The sequence below is a fragment of the Homo sapiens genome, chromosome 9 (assembly GCF_000001405.40).
Source record: "Homo sapiens chromosome 9, GRCh38.p14 Primary Assembly".
Lineage (NCBI taxonomy): Eukaryota > Metazoa > Chordata > Mammalia > Primates > Hominidae > Homo > Homo sapiens.
The window spans coordinates 108,354,810-108,382,418 of record NC_000009.12 but is presented as its reverse complement, the minus strand read 5'-3'; the positions used below and the strand labels follow the sequence as shown (position 1 = coordinate 108,382,418).

Here is a 27,609-nt window from a genome sequence, read left to right as displayed (position 1 = left end):
TGTGAGTGAGCCATCTGCTAGGTGGACCCTGCAGCTCCAGTCAAGCTTCCTAGGACTGCAGCATGGATGACGTCCTGACTGCAACTTTCTGAGCCAGAAACACCCAGCTAAGCTACTCCTGAATACCTGATCCACAGAAACTGTGAAGTATAATAATAAATATTTATTGTTTTAACTCATTAAATTTTGGAGTAAACGATTATGCATCAATAGATAACTAATATAGAGATTACAAAGAAATAGCCTTTTGAAGTTTTTTCAACCCTTGAGTCTGAGATTTTATGAGAAAATGATGATCTGCCCTTCTCAGACAGATAGGGATCTATCCTACAGCTGGATAAAAGGGCTGTTCAGTAGCTAATCTGATGGACTTTTATTCCAGTGATTATAATTAATTTATCAAATTATCCCCATTTAGATAGAGAAGTATTTAAAGACATAAAAAGACAGTCTTCCTAGATTTCTTCTTGTTACTCATACTCCACCCTGTGGATACTGAAACCTGTGGATTCTATCTCTAGAGTTCTCCTCCCTGTCTGTCCCCTCCCCTGTCCCACAGCCAGAGCCACCATTCAGGCTGTTGTCATGTCATCACCTGCTAAATGGACTATACCAATGACTTTCAATGTCTTCCCTTCTATTTACCTTCCCAAATCCAGACCTGGCAATATCACTGCCTTGTTTAAAAAGAGCCTCTCTCCATTATCCTTAAGCTCCTCAGCTAGTGGCACAAAGTCCACTGCACCCTGGCTCCTGCTGGCTTTTCCAGCTCTCCCTTGGCTGGTTGTAGGTTCTGACCTCACCATATTACCTAGATCACTCTGGCTCCCACACACCTCCCCACCCTAGCTCATACTGTTCCCTCTCCCTGGACTGTTCCTCCCCTCCAATGCCTAAAATGCTCTTCTCTCTTACCTACTTGGTGGGCCCCTTTTCATCTTCAAGGTCCAGCCCCTGGAGAAATCCCCTTTGGCACCCCATGAAGTCATTTACTTCTTCTCTTGGGCCTCCGGGTACTTGATGTCCCTTCCTATTAAAACACCTAACACACTAGGTTGGAATGCTTTATTCACTATTCTGCCTCCTTACTCCTGGCTGGAAATTCCTAAAGGACAGCCATTACTTAGTTTGGGGCCTGGGTTTTGGTATGGAGTAGATCCTCAGTACATTTCTTTGGAATGAAAGGATGAATGAGAAGATTAAAAATGCTTTCATTTTCCCTAGGAAGCGATTGTACTATAAATTATTTAGGGTGCACGTGCACAGTTGAGTCGTCTTTTTAATAGTTTGTTTACCTCTTTTATTTCCTGAAGCCTTTTGAACATTTTGCATGTTAGCTTTCATCTGTGAAAGCCATAAAAACTCCAAGTCCTGAGGAGTTGCTTAGGACAAGGCTGGGCAGGTGTGGGTAACTGCTTGAGGCCTAGTTTGATGGTGATGGGTCTGGACTGTGCCCTAGACTGGCCAAGTGGGTGAGGCAGGAGCTGGGGATGGTTCTCAAGCATGCTCACGCTGGCCAGCAGAGTGACATATGGAAGGGGTAAGGCAACAATGGGAAGAGGGCATGGGAACAGCTAGTGCGTAGAGACACGGAAGTCCACATTGGTGGATGGGAATCCGGAAGCAGGTGATGTCTGGAAATAGAGCTGGACAAGGAAGATCTCTCTGAAGGCAGTAAATTTGGTCAAAGCATCTAACTACTGAATACTTCATTTTCTCTATCTGTAAAGAGAGGAAAGCAATAGTAGTTACCTGACATAATTGTTGAGAGGATTAAATGTATAGTTGCATGTGAAATTCTTGGAACAGGGCCCACTGCAGAGTAAGCCCTCAGTGTTTTTTAGTTTTTCATGTTAGTATTACCATGGTTTTAGTATTAATGCAAGGTGCAGGGACTCTAAACCCTGGGGGCTGAGTCAAGAGGTCTAATGGGCTGGAGGAAGGTAGAAGCCTATCTCAGGACACAACTCTAAGACATAAAGCAAGACAGAGGCCTGATACAGGATTTAGGTCATGAAGTCAAGATTGGGTCTGGGGAATATGGCAGAAAGGCAGTCCAAAGCAAAAAGCAAAGCAAAACAAAACAAAACAAAAAATCAGAAGGTAAAAGATGTTTCACTGCAGGCTGCTTATGTCTCAGGCTCTACAAATTCTCCTTAAAAATATTAGGAAAAACATAAAATTGTTTGTATAGGTCAAAAGTGGTGGGATATTGGCAATTTCTTAGAGTTTAACCTCAAATATCACACAGTATAGCCCAATATTTTACAGTCTGATCTCTGGGGACCCCATAGACTAGCAGGGTGACTTTGCACAAATTACTTACATTTATACCTCAGTTTCCTCATTTGTAAAAATGGGGAAAATATTACTTCATTAGATAATTGTGACGATTAAACAAAATAATTCACATGAGCAATTGTGAAAATTTAACCTGTTAGAAATGTGAACTGTTTAGAAACAACTTGTTTAGAATGTGCCTGTCACATAGTAAACACTTCATAATGCTAACCATTGTTATTATTATTCTAGACCCCAGAAAACTAGGCCCAGTACATGGTAGGCATTCAATGAATATGCACCAAATGAATGGATGAATCAGTGTAAAGAGCTGTGTACAGAACTTGGCTCATTTTATACCCTGAATAAGTGTTAGCTACTACTCTAATTATGCTTTCTCTTTAACTCTTCCAATAGTCTTTTGGAATAACTATTGTTGTCCTTGTTTTATTAGGTGAGACAAACAAGTTATAAAATGGTGAAGGAACTTTCCACAGGATAAACAGTTAGAAATAGGCAGAGCAAGCATTTGCAACCATGTTTCATGAACTCCAACATCACAACAGATTCAAAAGTCTCTTAGTCTGTTCAGGCAGGGATAACAGAGTAGACTGGGTGGCTTGTAAACAACAGGAATTTATGTCTCACGGTTCTGGAGCCTGGGAAGTCTAAGATCAGGGCACTGGCAGTTCTATGTCTGGTGAGGGCCCACTTTTGGGTTCATAGATGGTGTTTTCTCACTGTGGCCTCACGTGGTGGAAGGGGCTAATGAGCTCCCTTGGACCTATTTTATAAGGGCACTAATCCTATTCAGAAGGTATTAGTTGCCTCCCAAAAGTCTCCACCTCTTAATACCATACCCTTGGATGTTAGGATTTCAACATATGAATTTTGTACAGACACAAACATTCAGATCGTAGCAAAATCAGAGCTTGGAAAGGACAAAGGATATTTGATGTTTCCTGTTTTTGAGCAGGACCTGCTTAAACCCCCCTTGCCTCAAATCTGGATGGGTCTCCAATTATTTTGTGAAGCTAAGCCTATGGTTGCATGGCCCAAGTTGTGTGCATAAGTGGTTAGACTAAGGCTAGAGTCCTAAAGCCTTAGATTACAGTTAACTGTGCCATTTACTTTTTAGATTTAACTCTGAAGAAGTATTTTGCTGAAAAGATTATCGTAATGAAAATAAAGAGGGGGTCATGATTAGACAGTTGCTTCTGGAAGTCCTGAGCTGTGGCTGAGAGAGGTTGAGTGGCGAGCATATGCTTGACACTGGCCAGCTCCTGGGTGTAGGGCCCGTTCTGGAGGGACAAACATGAGGCTCAAGCCAGCCTCTGCCCAGCTCTACCTTCCTGGAGACCGAGATTATAAGCTGATGTCTCAGGCATTATGGCTGCAGCCCCATTTCACCTAATAGGTTCTGAGGGTGCTCCTAAGAAGGATATTCTTTATGTTCGGCTTAATAGAACTTCCTGGATATCCCTTCTTCCCTAGAGCCAAGCAGCTACCTTTGCAGTTTGAGTCCTCCTGTGCTGCATCTGCAGAGCCTACACAGAGCACCAAGTTTACAATCCATCCCTGTACCTGATCATAAACCTCAAACCCACGAACAGTTACTTTTTGTTCGCTTATAAGTAATGCTCATCTTAATCTGAGCACTGAACCTGGAGCAATTTCTATAGTAGCTTCTACTCATTGCATATGTACTGTGTTCCAGGTGGAAAGCATTTAGGGGCAAGAAAACTGAGGCTCAGACCGGATTTTCCCAAACTTTGCTATGCATATGAATCACCTTGGGATCTTGTTAAGAGGAAGACTCTGGTTTAGTAGGTCTAGGACAGAGATTCTCCCACACGATGCTGATGCTGCTGATCCATGGGTCACGCTTTGAGTAGTAAGGGCTTTGCAGAATCTGCATTATAACAAGATCCTCCAAATAAGTCATATGCACATGTAAGTTTGAGAAGAACTGCTCTACATTACTGAGCCAATTTTTTTGGAATGATTATGGAATTTGTTTTTTATCAAAGTTGTAATGGAAAACTACTTTCAACAAATACCAGCCTGGGGAAAATTGCCTAGGATTGCTAGGAATTTAGAAAATGGAATAACATGTTGAGAGATTCTTTCCCTCAGGACCAAATATGTGGCATGTTTTTCAACACTACTCTACCTGAAGTTAGTGTCAGATCCTACAAATCAAAGCGCTTGGTCCCCCAAGACTGCTCCCCTTTCAGATGCCAGATGGAAATGGGGTTTCCAGGACACTCCCACTTCTGCCTAGTGGACTGCATATTTTGGTGCTTTTAAGATCCCCCTCAGGTTCAATAATTCACTTTTACAAGTAATAGAACACGGGAAAGCACTTTATTTGCTGTTAGTGTTTATTATAAAGGATAAAACTTAGGAACAGCCAAACAGCTGTAAAACAAAAATAAAATTCTAAGGCTCCCCAACCATCTAAATGAACCCTTCCTATCGGCCAGGGCACTCCAAAGTTAACCTGAAAAACTGGTTCGGGCCATGATGGGAAGAGGTGGTCAGGCATGTTTCATTATCCCATCCTCCTTTTTGGAGTTCAGGAAAAGTCAACCAGCATTTGACATCAACACCGACCTTATGTCTGATAAGAAACATTTACAACCTATTCTCTCTGAAGCCTGCTACCTGGAGGCTTCATCTGCATGAGAAGACTTTGATCTCCACAACCACTTACAGTAACTCAGACATTCCTTTCTGTTGAAAATAACTGTTTTAACCAATTGCCAAGCAGAAAAATTTTCAATCTACTTATAACCTGGAAGGCCCCCTGCCTTTAAGTTGTCCCACCTTTCTAGACTGAACCAATGTGTCTTACATGTATTGATTGATGTCATGATGTCTCATATCTCCCTAAAATGTATAAAGCTATGACTATGCCCTGACCGCTTTGGGCATCATGTTCTGAGACTCTCCTGAGAGCTATGTCACAGGCCATTGGTCACTCATATTTGGCTCAGAATAAATCTCTTGAAATGTGTTATAGAGTTTGACTCTTTTCATCAACATAACTCAGGAAGTCGGAGCCTCCATGACCTCTCTGGGTGTTCCACCCTCCCAGCACTGGAATCTCCCTCAACCCTGTTACTTAGAGTTTTTTTTAATGTAGGCATGATTGATTAAATCATTGGCAGCTGGTGATTGCACTCATTCTCCAGTCCTCTCTCCCCTTCCAGGAGGCCAGTGAGTGGGGCTGCAGTTCCAGCCCCCTGGTCATGGCATGGTCTTCCCAGTGCCCAGTCCCCATCCTGATGCTATCTAGGGGCCCACCAAGAGTCACCTCATGAGCATAAACTTCAGTATGGTCTAATGGGCTTTTTTATGAATAAAAAAAGAGAAATGCCTATTAATCTTATAACTCAGGAAATTTCTAGGGTTTTAGGAGCTCTGTGTTATGAACCTGGGACAAAGGCTAAATATATATTTTTCAAGATACCACATACATACAGGGAAATTCAAGGGCACATCATAGTAATTCCATTTTCTGCATGTACCATTGCTATTTAGAAAGAACTTTCCCATATTTCTCTTTTTTGCTCTCCACCAAGCCCTGTTCAATATGGGTGGAGTAACATTAGCCCAGTGGGTACATCACTCACACCCATAGTTTAGATAACTTGTTAGGTAGCCATGGTTATGAATTTTTAAAAGCATACCCCAGACAACTGAGGCTCATACACACCCCACTCATAACAAGAAGTAGCATTTCTTTTGAAAGGAAGAAGGGCAGAGATAAAGTAATGAAGTGTGAAGTTGACTGGGATCTGCTGGTCAGCATTCTTCATTTGCCTGGGCTGGGCCTGGGAGTGGATAGGGAGCAGGAGAGCCAGCAGGACTTTAGGAGCCCAAAGAAGTCATGCCTCAGATTGAGGAGAGGAGAACTGGCAAAGCTTACAGTAAGGGCTGATCCAGAGCTGCCAATAAATGGTTTGGGTCAAAGGCCACAAAATGTTCTTACCTTTATGTAACAAATCTTGGTTCTGGGCATTTATTTTAAGAAAATAAATATGTTTACATGATATCTACAGCAGCTTTTTTGAAATAACACAAAATTGAAAACAAACGAGTATTTAAATTACTAGAGGACTATGTTGCAGTATTTGATGAACTCTGCAGCCAGAAAAATTGTCGATTTGTACCAAAAATGTAATAAAAATAAAAATTATATATCAACTTGGAAAATGTTTACAACTCAGAATTAAGTGAAACAGCAGATGATAAAAATTTATGTGTTCTATGATTGCAATTATATAAACTAAGATAGGATGAGGGATATAGTGTTGGGATTAGAGATACTTTTTCTCCTTTAAAATTTCCTTATTGTTACTGCTTTTACAGTAAAAATGTAAATAGTGTTATGAATACAAGTTCTGTGTATCTCTAAGCACAATTTCTGTGCCCTAACAGTTCATGATGAGGAGGATAAAAGGTATAAACAAATTTTATTAACCTAAAAATATATCTATGAATAAAATTACTTTTCTGCCTCTTTTTCCTTTACAGGTGTCTCTTGAAAATGGCTATAAAACTTCTTGTCAAATTGGAGTACTTTGGAATATTTAGGAAAAGTTGGCAGAGAGGAGACAGGACTAAAGTGCAGCTCCCACTTGGATGAACTGAACAGTGTGTGGAGACTCACATTGTGAATTTTTGCTCCAAGAACTACCTCAGGAACATACCAGAAAAACCAAAAGAATTCACAGACCCTTTGAAAAAAGTGGCTTGCCAGTGCAAACTCCATGAGACAGCTGAAAAACTGTGAGTTCTCAAAGTGTGAGATGCGGGGAAAGGTCTGCCTCTGAACACTCATTACCACTGGGGAACCTGCAAATCCAGGTCATGGGAGAAGGATTTAACCATACCTAGAGTTGAAAAGGATTTAAGGAGCTGGGTGAAATATAAACGTAGAAGAAGCAGTGGGAAGAGCCCTATAGGCACTCCCGATCTCCAGCTTGAGTCCAGAAAAGCCATTCCTGGCTTTATCTCACCAGAGGTCCTTGGGGAAAGGCAGCTAGTGGAATTCAGGAGGGGACATGGGGTGAAGAAAGCTTCCAGTGGAATTTTTGTAATAATTTTGACTGAGCACAAATTTTTCTGAGCAGAATGCAGCAGTGGGGAGAGGGGAAATGGGGGCACAAATAGGAAGTGCAGATATGAGTGCAGAAGCTGCAGCCAAGGTTGTGGGTGGAGGGGTGGGGGTGAGGGGTGAGGTCTTAGAGTCATGCTTACTTTCTCAACAGGAAGACTTGTAGCCTGGGGCAAGATCTCAGCCCTGCTCCCCAGCTGCCTGGATGTAAACTTGGTGCTGTTAGTGAGGCATGGAGGGAGTGAGACTGGCCTTGCTGCATGAGAGCTGGGTGAGGCCTATCACTGCCAGCCTTCCCCTAGTTCCCTGGTGACCTGTATGATGCAGCAGAGGCAGCCAAAATCACCCTGAGAACATAACTGTATTGTCCTGAGAACCACCCCTATTCCCCACAGTAGCCACAGCAAGCCCTGCCCAAGGATAGTGTGAGCTCAGACCCACCTAATTCTGCCCCCACCTGATGATTTTTCTCTGCCTGCCCTGGTAGCCAAAGACAAAAGACATAAGCTCTTGAGAGCTCTATGGCCCCACCCATCACCTGAGAAACCCGAGTACTTATCCTGGCCAATGTAGGGCAAGTGTATATGCCCCTTCTACTACTGCAGCTGGTGCTGTCTTGAAAATGCCACCTCCTGGCTGGAGGCCAACCAACTTAAGCCATTAAAGCAACTCATACCAGACCAACCCTGCTCTAAAGAAGAGAAAATCACAGCTAATTCCACCACCTGCACCACCCTGGCTAACCAGAGGTCCTGAGTCTGTCCTTGTGACAGCATCACTGCTAGCATAACCAGCATTCGAGAAAAACAGCATGCTAAACAAAACTACAACCAAGGACTCCCACAGAGTCCACTTTATGCCCCTGCCACCTCCACTGGAGCAGGTGCTGGTATCCATGGCTGGAAGGCCTGAAGACAAACCACATCACAGGACTCTTTGCAGACATTCCCTAGTACCAGCCCAGAGCCTGCTAGCCTCATTGAGTGGCTAGACCCAGAAGAGCAATAACAGTCACTGCAGTCTGGCTCTCAGGAAGCCCCATCCCTACGGGAAGCAGAAGAGCACCACATCAAGGGATCACCCCGTGGGACAAAATAATCTGAACAGCAGCCCTTGAGTTCTAGATCTTTCTACTGAAACAGTCTACCCAAATGAGAAGGGATCAGAAAAGTAATTCCAGCAATATGACTAAACAAGTTTCTATAACGCCCCTAAAAGATAACACTAGCTCTCCAGGAATGGATCCAAACCAAGAAGAAATCTCTGAATTGCCAGTTAAAGAATTCAGAAGGTTGATTATTAAGCTACTTAGGGAGATACCAGAGAAAGATGAAAAACAACTTAAATTAAAAAAAAAATTCAAGATATGCATTAAAACGTCTCCAGAGAAAGAGATATTATAATGAAAAAACAATTACAACTTCTGGAAATGAAAAACACACTTAAAGAAATGCAAAATATGCAAGAAAATTTCAACAATAGACTCAAGTAGAAGAAAGAACTTCAGAGCTTAAAGACAAGGCTTTCAAATTAACCCAATCCAACAAAGACAAAGAAAAAAGAATTTTAAAAAAATAAAGCCTCCAAGAAGTTTGGGATTATGCTAAACCACCAAACATAAGAATAACTGGTGTTCCTGAGGAAGAAGAGAAATCTAAAAGTTTGGAAAAATTCTTTGAGGGAATAATCGAGAAAAGCTTCCCTGGCTTTGCTGGAGATCTAGACATCCAAATACAAGAAGCCCAAAGAATACCTGGGAATTCATCACAAAAAGATCATCATCACCTAGGCACATGGTAATTAGGTTATCTAAATCAAGACAAAGTAAAGAATCTTAAGAGCTATGAAGCAAAAGCATCAAGTAACCTATAAATGAAAACCTATCAAATTAACAGCAGATTTCTCAGCAGAAACCCTACAAGCCAGAAGGTATTGGGGTCCTATCTTTGATGTCCTTAAACAAAATAATTATTAGCTGAGAATTTTGTATCCAGCGAAACTAAGCTTAATAAGTGAAGGAGTGATAAAGTCTTTTTCAGACAAACAAATGCTGAGAGAACTCACCAGTACCAAGCCAACACTACAAGAACTGCTAAAAGGAGTCTAAATCTTGAAATGGTTCCTCAAAATATACACCAAAATAGAACCTCCTTAAAGCATAAATCTCACAGGGCCTATAAACAATAACATAATAAAAAAAAAGCAAAACCCACAAGGTCTTCAGGCAACAACTAAATGAATAGAACAGTAGCTCATATCTCAATACTAATGTATCATGTAAATGGCCTAAATGCTCCACTTAGAATATACTGAATGGCAGAATGGATAAAAATCCACCAACCAAGTATCTGCTTTCTTCAGGAGACTCACCTAACACATAACTACTCACATAAACTTAAGGTAAAGGGATGGAAAAAGATATTCCATGCAAATGGAAACCAAAAGCAAGCAGAAGTAGCTATTTTTGTATCAGACAAAACAGACTTTAAAGCAACAACAGTTAAAAAAGACAAAGAGGGACATTATATAATGATAAAAGAATTAGTCCAACAGCAAAATAGCACAATCCTAAATATATATGCACCTAACATTGGAGCTCCCAAATTTTTAAAACAATGACTACTAGACCTAATAAATGAGACAGGAGACAACACAGTAGTAGTGGAGAACTTTAATACTCCACTGATAGCACTAGACAGGTCATCCAGACAGAAAGTCAACAAAGAAACAATGGACTTAAACTATACCCTAGAACAAATGGACTTAACAGATATTTACAGAACATTCTACACAACAACTACAGAATATACATTCTTTTCATGGGCACATGGCACATTCTTCAAGATAGACTATACGATAGGCCACAAAACAAGCCTCAATAAATTTTTAAAATCAAAATCATATCAAGTACTCTCTCAGGCCACAGTGGAATAAAATTGAAAATTAACTGCAAAAGGAACCCTCAAAACTACACAAATACATGGAAATTAAATAATCTACTTCTGAATGATCTTTAGATCAACAATAAAATCAAGATGAATATTAGAACATTTTTTGAACTGAATGATTATAGTGACAAAATGTATCAAAACCTCTGGGATACAGCAAAAGTGGAACTAAGAGGAGAGTTCATAGCATGAAATGCCTACATCAAAAAGCCTGAAAGAGCACCTGTAGACAATCTAAGCTCACACCTCAAGGAAGTAGAGAAACAAGAACAAACCAAACCCAAACCCAGCAGAAGAAAAGAAATAACAAAGACCAAAGCAGAACTAAATGAAATTGAAACAAACAAACAAAAAATACAAAAGATAAAACAAAAAGCTGATTCTTTGAAAAGATAAGCAAAATCGATAGATCATTAGCAAGATTAACCAAGAAGAGAGAAGATCTGAATAAGTTCAGTTAGAAATGAAATGACAGATACTACAACCGACACTACAGAAACACAAAAGATCATTCAAGGCTACTATGAACACCTTTATGAGCACAAACTAGAAAACCTAAAGGAGATGGCTAAATTCCTGGAAATATACAACACTCCTAGATTAAACCAAAAGGAAATAGAAACTCTGAGCAGACTAATAACACGCAGCAAGACTGAAACACTAATAAAAAAATGCCAACAAAACTAAGTTTAGGACCAGATGGATTCACAGCTGAATTCTATCAGACATTCAAGGAAGAATTGGTATCCTACTGAAACTATTCCAAAAGATAAAGAGGGGATCCTCCCTAAATCATTTTATGAAGCCAGTATCATCCTAATACCAAAACCACGAAAGGACATAACAAAAAAAGAAAACTGCAAACCAGTATCCCTGATGAACATAGATGCAAAAATTCTCAACAAAATACTAGCTTACTGAATCCAACAGTGTATCGAAAAGATAATCCACCATGACCAAGTGGGTTTCATATCAGGGATGCAGGGATGGTTTAACATACGCAAGTCAACAAATGTGATACACCACATAAACATAATTGAAACCAAAAATCACATGATCATCTCAATAGATACAGGAAAAGCATTTGACAAAATCCAGCATCCCTTTATGATTAAAAAATTGGCATAGAGGGGACATACCTTAAGGTAATAAAAGCCATCTATGACAAACCCACAGCCAACATTATACTGAATGGGGGAAAGTTGAAAGCATTCCTCCTGAGAACTGGAACAAGAAAAAGATTCCCACTTTTACCACTTCTATTCAGCATAGTACTGGAAGTCCTAGCCAAAACAATCAGACAAGAGAAAAAAATAAAGGGCATCCAAATCAGTAAAGAGGAAGTAAAACTGTCACTGTTCACTGATGATATGATTGTATACCTAGAAAAACCTGAAAGACTCATCTAAAAAGCTCTTAGATCTGATAAATGAATTCAGTAAAGTTTCAGGACACAAAATCAATGTACACAAATCAGTAGCATTGATGTACACCAACAGTGATCAAGTTGAGAATCAAATCAAGAACTCAACCCCTTTTATAGCAGATATGGAAATAAATAAATACAACACAACACAACACAACACAACACAATACTTAGAAATATACCTAACCAAGGAGGTGAAAGGTCTCTACAAAGAAGACTGCAAAACATTGCTGGAAAAAAATCATAGACAACACAAACAAATGGAAACACATCCTATGCTCATGAATGGGTAGAATCAATATTGTAAAAAATGACTATACTGCCAAAAGCAATCTATAAAATTCAGTGCAATTCTTATCAAAATACTGTTATCATTCTTCAGAGAACTAGAAAAAAACTATGCTAAAATTCATATGGAACCAAAAAGCCACATAGTCAAAGCCAGACTAAGCAAAAAGGACAAATCTGGAGGCATCACATTACCTGACTTCAAACTATACTATAACACTATAGTCAGCCAAGCAGCATGGTACTGGCGTATATACAGGCTTGTGGACCAATGGAACAGAATAGTGAACCCAGAAGTAAAGCCAAATACTTAGAGCCAACTGATCATCAGCAAAGCAAACAAAAACATATAGTGGGGAAAGGACGCCCTATTTAACAAATGGTACTGGGAGAATTTGCAGGCCAGATGTAGAAAGATGCGACTGGATCCTCATCTTTCACCTTATACAAAAATCAACTTATGATGGATCAAGGACTTAAATCTAAGACCTAGCACCATAAAAATTTTACAAGATAACATCGGAAAATCTCTTCTAGACGTTGACTTAGGCAAAGACTTCAGGACCAAGAATCCAAAAGCAAATGCAACAAAAACAATGAAAATAGATGGGACTTGATTAAATAAAAATGCTTTTGCACTGCAAAAGAAATAGCAGAGTAAACAGACAACCTACAGAGTGGGAGAAAATCTTTGCAAACTGTGCATCTGACGAAGGACTAATATCCAGAATCTACAAGAAATGCAAATGAATCAGCAAGGAAAAAACAAATAATCCCATCAAAAAGTGGGCTAAGGACTTGAATATACAATTCTCAAAATAAGATATACAAATGGCTAACAAACATATGAAAAAATGCTAAACATCACGAATTATGAGGGAAATGCAAATCAAACCCACAGTGCAATACTACCTTACTCCTACAAGAATGGCCATAATTTAAAAATGAAAAAAAAAAAAGATGTTGGTGTGGATGTGGTGAAAAGGGAACACTTTTACACTGCTGGTGGGAATGTAAACTAGTAAAATTACTATGAAAAACAGTGTGGAGACTCCTTAAAGAGCTAAAAGTAGAACTACCATTTGATCCAGCAATCCTACTACTCAATACCTACCCAGAGGAAAATAAATCATTATATGAAAAAGACACTTGCACACACATGTTTCTAGCAGCACAATTTGCAATTGCAAAAAATATAAAACCAGGCTAAATGCCCATCATCCGATGAGTGGATAAAGAAAATGTGGTGTATATGTACTATGGAATGCTCGGAATACTCCTTCAGTCATAAAAAGAAATGAAATAATGGCATTCACCACAACCTGAACTGAGTTGGAGACAATTATTCTAAGTGAAATAACTCAGGAATGGAAAACCAAACATTGTATGTTCTCACTTGTAAGTGGGAGCTAAGCTATGAGCGTGCAAAGGCATAAGACTGATACAGTGGACTAAGGATGGGAGGGGGTGAGAGATAAAAGACTACACATTGGGTACAGGGTACACTGCTTTGGTGATGGGTGCGGCAAAATCTCAGAAATCACTGCTAAATAACTTATCCATGTAAGTGAACACTACCAGTTCCCCAAAAACTATTGAAATTAAAAAAAAAAAAAAAAACAAAAACCAAAAAACAAAAAACAGAGAAACAGCTAGAAGAAATCTGTGTGAGAGTGGTTTCAACAGAGAGTGAAGGAATGAAATTGGAGTTAAAGAGGACAGGAAGGCATCAAGACATCTGTGTGAGAATGGTTTCAATAGAGAGTGAAGGAGTGAAATTGGAGTTAAAGAGGACAAGAAAGCATCAAGACCTCTGGTGCTGGCAGAAGCAATCTACCATGTCCCTGAGTCTCCCTACATATTTTTACTGGGCATGTCAACAGTGCAAGGGCCTGACCACTCTTTACCTCGGCCATTTCTTCGAGTCGTGTGTGCAGTCATAAATCTTGAGAATGGACGTCCCCTCAAACCTCATGTTGAAATTTGATCCCCAATACTTTAGGTGGAGCCTATTAGGAGGTATTTGGGTTGTGGGGCAGATCTCTCCTAAATGGCTTGGTGCCATCCTCATAGCAAAGAGGGAGTTCTTGCTCTAGTTCCCATAAAACTTCCCCCAAGAACTTGTTGTTAAAAAGAGTGTGGCACCCTTGAAACTTGCTTCCTTTCTAGCCATGTGATCTCTGCACATCCCCTTCATGTTCCACCATGAATGGAAGCTTCCTGAGGCCCTTACCAGAAGCAGATACTAGTGCCATGCTTTTTGTACGACCTGCAGAACTATGAGCCAGATAAACCTTTAAAAAAAATTAAATTACGTCGCCTCAGGTGTTCCTTCATAGCAACACAAATGAACTAGCACAGCATTTTACCCCAGACAAGGCACAGGCTTGCTTCCACTGACTATAAAAGCAGTGAATCCTTTAATTTCAGTGTTGCCTTCCTATAATGCAACCCGTAGCATGCTCAGGCATGCCCAAGGCCTCTCTCTGTCACTCTCACGAGACTTGGAGGAGTGGGCATGGCGAACCAACAGATACAGACCAACATGAAATTGTGGCTACTCCTTTTGCCATGAGAAATAAAGTTGTCTCTGAAAAAAATATTGTTATCAAATTCAAAACTGTATCTGCGTGGGTCTGACCCAAAATATAGGCCATGCAACATCCCTGGCCTTGTCCTTGAAAGGTGCTGGTGCTGTAGCTCATAAGCAAGGCAGAGTCCAGAGCTTCTAAGCTCAGAGCTGAGCCTGTGTGAGAAACACTTTGACAATTATGCATTAACATGATGTGGTCAGAAAAGACAAATCATTTCAAAAGTGAGCCCAAGTCAATAGACACTTGACAGATACTTGAAACTATGTGCATTGATCTTGATGAAACTTTTTGTAGGGACAACTTGAGGTAGAAAAGTGACAGGAAATTGTGCAAGGATGTATGTATTAAAGAATAGAAAAAGAGTTGTCTCAGCAATATTTGGGAATTTGGCTGGTTACCTAATAATTTAAAATATCTTACACAACAAATTTCTATATCACAATTAAAAAGAAGGAAAATGTTTCCATGCTTGTATTAGTTGGTACTTGCATTGCTAGAAGGAACCTGAGACTGGGTGATTTATAAATAAAATAGGTTTAATTGACTCACAGTTCCACAGGCTGTACAGGGAGCATGGCTGGGGAGGCCTCAGGAATCTTATAATCATGGAAGAAGGTGAAGGGGAAGCAGATACAAATTCACATGGCTGAGCAGGAGAGAAAGAGCAAAGGGGGATGTGCTAGACACTTTTAAACAACCAAGTCTCATGAGAACTCACTCACTGTCATAACAGCAAGAGAGAAGTCTGCCCTCATGATCCAATCACCTTCCACCAGGCCCTTCCTCCAACACTGAAGATTACAATTTGATATGAGATTTGGGTGGCGACACAGAGCCAAACCATATCAATGTTTATTAGCACTGTACATGCTGTAACCTTGTTGGTGCTAATATATAGGCAATTAAGGAAAAATAAAATGCTTTGCTACTCAGGTTATTACTTTTACTTACTCAATGGATGCTGTGGGAGAATAGATCAAGTCAGAATTTATCAAATTGCCCCATCTTACCTACCTTCCCGGGAGTATCAAGTGACACTTTTACTAAAGACACTGACACAGGCTTAGGGGAATGTGCCAGCTACTCAAAGGCTCCCGTCACATTCAGGAGCCGGGTCAATACCATAGCAATTGAGCAGGGATTCAACGCTTGAATTCTGTCTGCCAGTGGCCTTCAGGTATATCTCAATAAGTTCCTCCTTAGCAATGCTCTCCCATTGGTCCATGCCCACCATTTATTTGACTCCATTCCCGGAAGCTTCACTTTATAGTCCCTCTCTCATGACCATTGCCGATTAGGTACTGAGCAATGTGTTGGTCCTATAAGACCTACTAACCAAATTTCAGAAAATGAGATTATTTGGCCAAACCAACCAAGGCATTTGCATTGCTTCTCTTTTCCTCAGCAGTGAGTAACAATGATTCCACAAATATAGAAAATCAATATTATTAAGATTTAGATCTCTGGAGATAGATTATGGATAGAAGAAAGTCTTTTAAAAGAAGACCTTAATTTATTAGAAAGCTTACAACACTAAAACAACTCTTCCCTTTCAGTTGCTGCACAAGTAAAGTCATCTTGAAACTATTTTTAAAGGATAATTTAACCTCACCATCAAAATTTAGTACTCAAAACCTCTAAACAAATAGTAGAGATGAAGTTACAGCAGTATGTTTACCAGAGAAGGATTTGGGGTCAACTTTTGAAATAGAAGTGGGTGTCATCATGATAGGCAGGCATGGCATTCTTCCAGCACTGTTCAGAGGTGTGACCAGACGGACGGTACACCGCATCTTAGCACACGCTTCTCCTTCATCCTTGCTGCCCTCTCTCCTCCTCTTCCTTGATACCTGGCTAACACACCCATTTGACTTGGAGGACTTAGCTTCACTCTGGATCTAGTGGTAGAAAAAATTTGAATAACTTTTTAAGCTTACACAGCTAGAAAGTGGCTGGGTCAAGACAAACCTAGATTTGACTCCAAAACCCATAATTTTATGCTCTGTGCTTTACTGCCTCTTACTTCAACTATAAACCACCTCCCCATGGATTTCTGTGTAACTGTCATCCTTTCTGTTCTCTAGGAAAGGGGGAACATATTCCAAGCTCCTGCTGGAAGGGGTGTCCGGGCCCACTTGAGCCAGCATAATTCATTTCTTTCTCTCTGTGATATGGTTTGGCTGTCTCCCCACCCAAATCTCATCTTGAATTGCAGCTCCCATAATTCCCATGAGTTGTGGGAGAGACCCCGTGGGAGATAATTGAATCATAGGGGTGGTTTCCCCCATACTCTTCTCGCCGTACGGAATTAGTCTCATAAGATCTGATGGTTTTATAAGGGATTTCCCCTTTGGCTTGGCTTTCATTTTCTGTCTTGCCTGCTGCCATGTAGGATGTGCCTTTCACCTTCCACCATGACTGTGAGGCCTCCCCAGCCATGTGGAACTGTGAGTCCATTAAACTTCTTTTTTTTTTTTTTTTTTTTTTTTGAGACGGAGTCTGGCTCTGTCGCCCAGGCTGGAGTGCTGTGGCGCGATCTCCGCTCACTGCAAGCTCCGCCTTCCGGGTTCACGCCATTCTCCTGCCTCAGCCTCCCGAGTAGCTGGGACTACAGGCACCCGCCACTGCGCCCGGCTAACTTTTTGTATTTTTAGTAGAGACGGGGTTTCACCGTGGTCTCGATCTCCTGACCTCGTGATCCGCCCGCCTAGGCCTCCCAAAGTGCTGGGATTACAGGCGTGAGCCACCGCGCCCGGCCTAAACTTCTTTTTCTTTATAAATTACCCAGTCTCAGGTATGTCTTTATCAGCAGTGTGAAAATGAACCAATACACTCTCCTACTCCTAGTAAAAGTAAAAATAGAAATGAAAAACAGTTGGATATTGTGTCACTAAATGTGGTGTCAAAGCTCAACTAATGGCTCCCAAAGAGTTTCTTAGAATTGTCAATTTGAAGTTCACTCCTTGGAAGGCACATTCAGGGAAGGGGTTTTGACAGAGTTGAAAATTTGTGTCAAACTTTTGACACAGCACAGTCTTTTGACACTTCTTCGTGGCCTCTTTCAGAAAGGCAGACCCAATGCCTGCCCAGACTCCTTGGTAATAAGCAGAACTTTTAGAATCACTTGATGGAGAAAGTTCGGCATGGTGCTTAAAACTGGTGTCTTTCATATCCTCTAGACTTGACTTTGAATCTGTCCTCCCTGGGTAGGTTACATTGAGTCAGTTTTGTAACCTCTCTGAGACTCAGTTTCTTCATCTGTGAAGTGAGGGCAGTATCCCTTGGAGGATTGGCTTGAGACTAAATGAAATAATAAACCACAGGAGATACAGAGGGGTTATGGAACTCAACTAAACTGACTTAGGCCTCAAAGCCTGTAGGTGGCAGTTACAGGATTTGATCCCAGGCAGCCTGACTCTAGGTCCCTCCCCACCTCCCCCCTGCCTTATAACCACCTTGCTATGCAATGTGATAAAGGTTATAATGGGTCATTGCCTGGCCCAGAGGGAGAAAACAGGAAGGACCTCTAACCTAGACCAAGGAGAAAAGGGTCAAGAATAACTTTTCAGGAGTCATAACATCCAAGCAAGAAACTGTGAGTTAGCCAAAGAAAGGGAGGAATTTTGGTGGTGGAAAAGGGGGATATTGAGTGATGAGGGTAGGATGGCAGAGAATGTTCTAGGCAGAAGGAATAGTATGTACAAAGCAGTCAAGAGAGAGCATGGCACATTTGGGTTGCAATTCATAGCTGGCTAATCAATATGTTGGAAATTGCTGTGCAGGTGCCTTCTGTGTCAGGGTTATTACACTAAACAACTTTTGCTTTGTGCATAGAGCCTCCTGAGCACTATAGTGCATGACTTGTGGCTTCCTATAGTGGCCTTGTGTGCTCCTGTGATTCCAACTCAATTACAAACTCCCTGAGGGCAGGATCCAGACTTTGGGCTTAGTTCCATCTCCAGAACAGAGCACATGTCAAGAACTCCAAACATACTGGGCAATACTTACTGGTATAAATTTATCTATGAATGATTTATAATAGTAAAGCTACCCTTTCATCAGCAGAAAATGTCAATTAACATGTTCTGCAAACACCCACAGATATGAAGTGGTGACCAGAATTTGTTTTTATCCATGGGGAACACAACTGCCACATGATTTGTGTGCAAATTGCCCTCTGTGTACAATCTGTATTGGCATAGACTCATGAAACAGACAGCTGACAGGCAGTGCCCAGAATCAAATGGCAAATTCAGAGAAAAGGATTTGCTTTCCCTGGGATGAGCAGGCATTGCTATTCTGGGCCCGAGTAAATAAGACTGTGTAAATAAAACTGTCATGAACCTCATTGTTCAAGCCATCAGGGAAATGGTTATTGTCTTTCCTCATTAGAATGAGGTCTCTCAGAGTGGCCTGATGTGACCATGTTCCTGTTCATATTCAAGAATGTAACCTACAGTTTTTGTGGTTTTTTTTAAGAGAACATATGTGAGTTAATTATTTGGCTCCATTAAAGAGGTATCAGTTTTCTCATTGCAACTTTTAAGATAATAGCAAGTTATTATATTTCTTTTCTTCATTATGAAAGATCATAACAAAATTGATGAATGACAGCAGGCCCATAGGGCATTGAGCCAGCCCAAAATCAAGGCACAAACACCAAGCTGGAAGGCCTTCTGGGGTGACCGTACTCATTGCTTGTACTTACTGAAATTTTGGTTTTGTGGTAAATATGCATAAAGGATGCCATGACTTTAAAAGACTATATTTTTGGAGATGTTCTTTAAATGCCCTTCTTTGCTCTTGAATAGAGGGTGGTTGTAATTTTGTGGTGCTGTTGGTAATCATTTGCATGGCTTGTTTTTCTAAAAAACGTTTTATTTGGAATAATGTCAGACTTACAGAGAAAAGTTACAAAAATAGAGCAAAGAACACCCTTCTACTCTATATCCAGTTTCATCTAGTGTTAACATGTTGCTCTATTTAATTGTTTTCTTTCTATTTTTTCTGACAAAATTAAGAGTATGTCGCATGCCATATTTATTTACCCCTAAATATTTCAGTGTCAATTTCCTAGGTACAGTTATCAACCTCAATAAATGTAATAGTGACAACAGTACTTTTATCCAATTTATGGTCTATATTCCAATTATCGGTTGACCCAATAATGTCATTATAACACTTCCTCCTCTAGCACCATCTCATCTAGTTATGTATTTAGTTGTAATGCTGGTTAAGTTTCTTATAGCTCATTCAGGCTGCTCTACCAGAATACCATAGCCTGGGAGGCTTATAAATTACAGAAACTTATTTTCCACAGTTCTGAAGGCTATAAAGTCCATGATCAAGGTGCCAGCAGATTTGGTGTTTGGAGAGGGTTTGTCTCCTGGTTTGTAGCTGATGCCTTCTTCTTGAGTCCTCACATGTTGGAACGGGCAAGGGAACTCCCTGGGATTTTTTTTTTTTTTTAACTTTTAAGTTTAGGGGTAAAAGTGCAGGTTTGTTACATAGGTAAACTTGCATCATGGGGGTTTGTTGTACAGATTATCTCATCACTGATACAGTTTGGCTGTATTCGCACACAAATCTCATCTTGAATTTTAGCTCCCATAATTCCCACATGTCTTGGGAAGGACAGGGCGGGATGTAAGTGAATCATGGAGGTGGGTCTTTCCTGTGCTGTTTTTGTGATAGTAAATAAGTCTTATGAGATCTGATGGTTTTATAGAGGGGAGTTCCCCTGCACATGCTATCTTGCCTGCTGCCATGTAAGACATGGCTTTGCTCCTCCTTTGCCTTCCACCATGATTGTGAGGCCTCCCCAGTCAGGTGAAACTGTGAGCCAATTAAACCTCCTTCCTTTATAAATTACCCTGTCTCAGGTATGTCTTTATTGGAAGCATGAGGACAGACTAATACAATCACCCAGGTATTAAGCCTAGTACCCATTAGTTATTTTTTTGACCCTCTCTTTCCTCCCAACCTCCACCCTCTAATAGGTCCCAGTGTATGTTGTTCCCCTCTATGTGTCCATGTATTCTCATCATTTAGCTCCCACTTATAGGTTAGAATATGTAGTTTTTGGTTTTCTGTTCCTGTGTTAGATTGCTAAGGTTAATGGCCTCCAGCTCCATCCATGTCCCTGCAAAGGATATGATCTCATTCTTTTTGTGGCTGCATAGTATTCCATGGTGTATATGTATCACACTTTCTTTATCCAATCTACAGTTGATGGACATTTAGGCTAATTCCATGTCTTTGCTATTGTGAATAGTGCTTCAGTGAACATAGAGGTGCATGTGTCTTTATAATAGAATGATTTCTATTCGTTTGGGTATACACCCAGTAAGGGAATTACTAGGTTGAATTGTCTTTAGGTCTTTGAGGAATCACTACACTGTCTTCCATAATGGCTGAACCAATTTACACTCCCACCAAGACTGTGTAAGCATTCCTTTTTCTCCACAACCTCACCAGTATCTGCATGTTTTTCTGACTTTTTAATAGTAGCCATTCTGACTGGTGTTAAATGGTATCTCATTGTGGTTTTGATTTGCATTTCTCTAATAACCAGTGATGTTGAGCTGTTTTTCATATGATTATTGGCCACTTGTATGTCTTATTTTGAAAAGTGTCTGTTCATGTCCTTTACTCACTTTTTTATGTTTTGTTTTTCTTGTAAATTTCTTTAAGTTCCTTATAGATGCTGGATATTAGACCTTTGTCAGATGCATAGTTTGTGAAAATTTTCTCCCATTCTGTAGGTTGTCTGTTTACTTTGTTGGTAGTTTCTCCTCTCTCATCTGAGGTCTTTTTTAATAAGGACACTAATCTCATTCATAGGGCTCTGCCCTTGTGACCTAATCACCTTCCAAAGGCCTCGCATTCTGATAATATCACATTGCAGTTGGAATTTCAACCTATGAATTTGGTGAGGATATAAACATTCAGTCAATAGCAGTCTCCTTTTGTCAGGAGTAATTATCAGCCCTTCTTTGTCTTTTATGACATTGATATTTTTGGAGAAACAATCTATTTCTCCTTTTAAAATTAAAATGGTTCTCATTCTGGATATACATGACGTTTCCCCCAGTTAGATTCAGTTTATTCATTCCCCACCACTGGATGCATGACTTTTAAGTGAGACTTGGTTATGTATGTATCACAGATTCTTTGGAACAAAAGTAATCTAAAGAATCTCCCTGTTCAAGATAGAATACCTGCATGAGCTGTGTGCCGCCAGCCTGGAGCTTGAGTTATGAGTTCAGCCGTGCCATGAACTCCTTGGGCCATTCCTGGCTAGTCATCCTTCTGGGCTTCAGTTTCCTCATTTGTAAAGGAAGGGATTGAGTTAGATGATCTTTAGTAGTCCTCTGGGTTAAACTATTCATGATTTTTAATGAATCCATCACAAATACTTGTGTTTAAAGGCAATTAATGTCCTTATTAAGAGTGAGAATAGTAACAACAATTCTCTTAGTTGCCTAGATCTTTGGAGAGCTTTGTCTGAATTTGCAAGAAAAGCTGAAACTTTAAACCAGCAAAATATATTGTATTTTGATTAGTGAGTGGGGAGATTGTGCCTCGGCCTGGCACAAAATGCTGTTTATCTCCTGAAGATAAACTGACACATTAACACTGAGATTCCAAGATGCTCACATATTTCCAAATAAATACTGAGGATCTAAAGCTTGCTTTCTGGCTGTTAACATGATTCCTGTAATAACATGCATTTAGGGTATTTTCCAAATACCCAAAGGCACGCATGACTTTAGAGAGCACATGTGTATTTCATTTCAGTAACCCATTTTTCTGCTTAATTAAATTCATTTGGCAGAAGTGGCAATATGAATTTGATACACTGTTATCACATAGCATTACCGGTAAGCCTCTCAGGCTTCTACCTCGGACAGCCCTGGTACAAAACACTCTGGCAGAAAGAAGGTTTGTGGAGCTGCCAAAAGGCAGGATAAGAATTCCCCAGGGCAGCCCCCAAGACCTAGAAAGAGGAAAATGAGAGCTCATGGGATGTGCAGGCTCTTGGTGCTTCAAAAGGCTGCTCGAGTACCCCTTGCCTGAATGGCTCTTCTTTCAGTAATTACAAGTGGTGAGAGGCCCTTTTTGACTGTACTTGGCACTCACCTGGGCTCTCAGATATTTGTCTTGTGTGTAGTGTTAAGGTAAGTGTGTGTAGTTGCCAGACAGTTTACAAAACATTTATGTTTATGGTGCATATGAGGCAGTTTGGAGGAACTTGTGTTCAAAATCTGACTTTAACCCTTGCTAATAATATGACCTTAGTCAATTTACACAGCCTCTTTGAGCTTCTTACATCTGGAAAATAGATTTATAGGTCCATGTTACCTATATGTTACAAGGTTACCTATGTTACAAGATTGTTGTGAGGATTAAGATATACAGACATTTAAGCTCTCTGACACATAGTTGATACTTAATATATAATTGTTTTTTTTCCTGTCTTCTGAAGTAGGTAGACAGGATGAGTATTGCTAACCCTGTTTTATATGGGAGAAAATGGTGGCTTATAAAGTTTTAAGGTCACTCAAATGGTAAGGTCCCATGATGGATTTGAACTTGTGACTTTTCACTAGCCCATTTGTCTCATGTGGAAATTGGTTTTTTGTAAGTTGATTATATCACTGAGCAGATTTCAACAAGAATTAGGGGAATTTGTTTTTTAATAAATTAAAAAGTATACAGAATAGTCTTAGGTTTACCGAAAAGTGACAAAGATGGTGCATAGAGAAGGAAATCTGTGTACCATCTTTGTAACTTTTCTGTAGTTATAAAGATTGTAAAAGTTACAAAGGTTGGTGCAAAAGTAATTAGTTTTTGCCATTACTTTCAGTGACGAAAACTGTAATTACTTTTGCACCAACCTAATATATACTTCTCATTCTGTTTCCTCAATTGTTAACATTATACATCATGATAGCATACTTATCACAGTTAAGAAACCAACATTGGCATATTCCTATTAACCATTAGTACATTACTAGTAATTAAATCCTACTCTTTATTTGTATTTCACTAGCTTTTCCCTAATGACTTTGTTCTGTCCTGAATCCCATCCAGGACTCTGCACTGCACTTCATTGCCATGCCTCCTTAGTCTCCTCTGGTCTGTGACAATTTCTCAGATTTTCCTTGGTTTCGATTACTTTGACAGTTTTGAGAAGTACTGGTCAGGTAGAATGTCTCTCATTTGGGTTTAATCTGATGTTTTTCTCATCGTTAGATTGGCTTATGGGTTTTAGGGAAGAAGAGAATAGAAGTGAAATGCCATTCCCATTAGATCATATCAAGGGTACCTGCAATCAACATGCTATCACTTATGATGTTAACCTTGATCACCCAAACAAGGTAGTATTTGTCAGGTTCCTCTACTGTAAGTTACTTCCCCACTCTTTATAATCTCTGCTCTTTAAAAGCAAACCATTTAGCACAACCCATGCTCAAGCAGTGGAGACACGTTAAGTTCCACCTCCTGGAGAATGTTTTCTACTGGGTTATTTTACCATACCATAAAACAATGTTTTCGTCATTTGTTCTCATTTTCTAACACATCTGAATGACATTTTCTGGTGCCTCAAATTGGATACTAGCTAACTTTGCTAATTCACTCAAGTTGGCCTTCAGAGAACCAGACTATTTTACCAAGAAGTATTGAGTTGCTGAAAATCTTTACAATTCCTCCCTCTATATATGTATTTTACTGATACAGTACATGTAATTATCTATCTCATAAGTTTCACTCCATATTATTTGTGTGAATATGTGTAATATGTGAGTATTTGTAATTTATGAAGACAAATGCATTGTTCTTGGGTGGCTTTAAGAATGTTTTAGCATTAATAATAATCTTTTCCAATTTAAAAACTATTATTGCTTCCAGTATTGCTTCCATCACCTTAAGTAATTGGAGCAGGCGAATATTTTGTTATTAATTATGCATTTTTCATCTTCTGTAGGACCTACCCTTCAGGTACCAGTCAGTCAGCAGCAGTAGTTTTCTATATGCATTGCCAAAAAATGTAGGAGCAATCCAGAGACAATAAGTCATCAAATTATTAATCTTTGGACTCTGATGTGACATTTGTGGATCAATAGCAGAGCCATGTCTTGAAAATTGTACCTTTCAATTGCAAGAGCTAGGTGCTGAAGTGAAAAAAGAAATGTCACATTATTGTTTGTTTTCTTCCCAAGTTGACTTAAAATATGACGAGCTAAATCCTGGAGGATTCAAAACATTAAATTTATATTAAATATATACAAAATGTGAAGAGTGAGCCTTTTATGTCCAAAAAGAAACAAATATTTGACCAGGAGATAGAAAAAGAATTAGAGAAGGAAAAACTACCTTGGTTGCTGGTGGAATCATGAGAAGTGATCAGTGTCTTATTTTTTTGCCTGAATTATTTTTGGGAAGGCAGTGAGGATGGTTCATTGAATACCTGATTTTCATAATTCCCAGATAATTTGTTGGGAATCCCAGAGCAGAAAGATACACTACTTTGCTTCCCAGGATTAAATCTGGAAACTACAGAACTCATAATATCTGGCGTTCAAGCCAACAAATGAGAAGTGGAGTAACAACGCCTAGGTGGCAGGAACTGAGGGGCCTTTGTAGTGTATCACACATTCCAGGGTGATGGAGGAAGTAGCTGGGTATTCTTGAGTCCAGCAGCAAGGTTAGGGCTTGGCTCCAGCTCTGAGCTCACCAGCAATTTTGAAGGTATTTTGTGGTATAGAGGAGGAAGATACAAATCAATGTTGAATAGAAGCATGACAGGGAAGAGATATCTTTGCCTTGCTCCTGATCTTAGGGGAAAAGTATTCACTTTCACCACAAAGTATGGTGTTACCTGTGCCCTTTATCAGGTTGAAGAAGATCTTTCTGTTCTAGTTAGTTGAGAGTTTTGCAGAAATGGATTTTGGAATATTTTCAAATATTTTTTCCCCTCACGTCTATTGAGACGATTGTGTAGGTTCTTTTTCAGTCTATTAATATGGCATACTAGGTTGAATAGCCAAAGTCGTGTCTTGCTTAAGAAATCATTTCCTATTCCAAAGTCTAAATTATATTCATTTATATTTGCTACAAAGTATTTGAAAATTTCATTTTTGACATACAAATTCTTAACATGACTAAAGTTGATATTTATATATGGTGTTAGGCAGACATCCAATTTGATCTTTTGCCATATTGTACTGGGTTGAATAGTGTCCCCTCAAAATTCATGTCTACCAGAAACCTCATTTGGAAATAAGGTCTTTGCAGATGTAATTAGTTAAGATAAGCTGAGGTCATACAAGACTATGGTGGGCCCTAATTGAATTACTGGTGTCCTTATAAGAAGAGAAAAACAGAGACAGAGACATAGGGGGGACAATACCATGTAAAAGCAGAGGCAGAGAGTAAAGGTTATGCTGCCACAAACCAAGGAACTTCAAGGATTGCTGGTAACCACCAGAAGCCAGGAGAGACGCATGGAACAGATTCTCCCTCCAAGCCTGCAGAAGAAATCAACCTTGCAAACACTTTGATTTTGGATATCTAGCTTCCAGACCTGTAAAAGAATAAATTTCTGTTTTAAGTTACTTAATTTATGGTACCTTGTTATGACAAACCTAGGAAACCAATATATGTGAATTTTTGGTTGAATTCACATTGGTTGAATTTTAAAATATTAAATCAGCCCTGTATCCTTATAATTATTCCTCTGTATATTTAGATCTAGCTGCTTATAAGGTTTTGTCTCTATCATTTGTTTTAAGTAGTTTTATTTTATGGTGTACCTTGTTGTTTTCTTCATTTTTTTGTGCTTAAGTTTCAAAAACATTTTTGGAAATGTGTGGGTTTATAGTTTTCATCATATATGAGCAAATTTTGGCCATTATATCTTTAGATATTGTTTCTACACCTCCTTCTGTACTAAAGACTGAAATAATCTTATGTTAGGCCACTTGTAATTGTCCTACAACCTACTGATGTTTATTCAATTAATTCTGGTCTTTTATCTCTTTTTCTCATTTTGGAATTCTGTTGCTATAGCTCCAAGTTTTATATATATATAATTTATTTAGTTTTGAGATGGAGTCTTGCTCTATTGCCCAGGCTAGAGTACAGTGGTGCGATCTCAGCTCACTGCAACCTCTGCCTTGGGTTCAAGTGATTCTCCTGCCTCAGCCTCCTGAGTATCTGAGATTACAGGCAGGCACTACCACACCCAGCTAATTTTTTTGTATTTTTAGTAGAGACAGGGTTTCCCCATGTTGGCCAGGCTGGCCTTGAAGTCCTGACCTCAGGTGATCTGCCCACCTCAGCCTTGCAAATTGCTGCGGATTACAGGCATGAGCCACCGCGCCTGGCCCAAGTTCATAATATTTTCTTTTGCATTGTCCAATCCACTATTGGTTCCATGCAGCATATGTTTTAATCTCAGGTATTGTAGACTTCATTTTTATAAGTTCAATTTGGGAGATACATATATTTTTCCATGTCTCCACATAAAATGTTCAACTTTTCCTCTATCTTCTTGAACAGATGAAATACAATAACAATAACCCTTGAACAATATCCCTGTCTACTTATCCTATCATTTGTGTTATTTCTGGGCCAATTTTGATGAACCCACTTTTCTCCTTGTCATTGCATTTTTTTCTTCTTTGCCTTCTGCTACTTTTTTTTTTACTGGATGCCAGACTGTGAATTTTACTTTGCTGAGTGCTGGATATTTTTGTATTCCTTCATTTTTGAACTTTTTTTCTGAGATGTGGTTAAATTGCTTGAAAGTAGTTTAATCCTTTTGGGTCTTGCTTCTAAGTTTTGTTAGGTGGGACAGAGCAGCTTTTAGCTCAGGAATACTTTTTCTCCACTACCAAGGCGAAGCACTTTTTAATTATCAAAGTGTGTTTCCAGGTGAGA

The 27,609-nt window shown here is 39.6% G+C and overlaps 1 long non-coding RNA gene across 3 annotated transcripts in view; it reads left to right on the top strand.

Annotated features, from left to right (window-relative positions):
- The window catches only part of LOC105376214 (uncharacterized), a 401,533-nt gene that overhangs the window by 62,359 nt on the left and 311,565 nt on the right, over positions 1–27,609 (top strand). For all 3 annotated transcript variants that reach the window (XR_007061722.1, XR_001746882.2, XR_001746881.2), the window contains exon 2: positions 6,823–7,077. This is a non-coding gene — a long non-coding RNA (uncharacterized LOC105376214). The remainder of the gene's footprint in view (positions 1–6,822; positions 7,078–27,609) is intronic.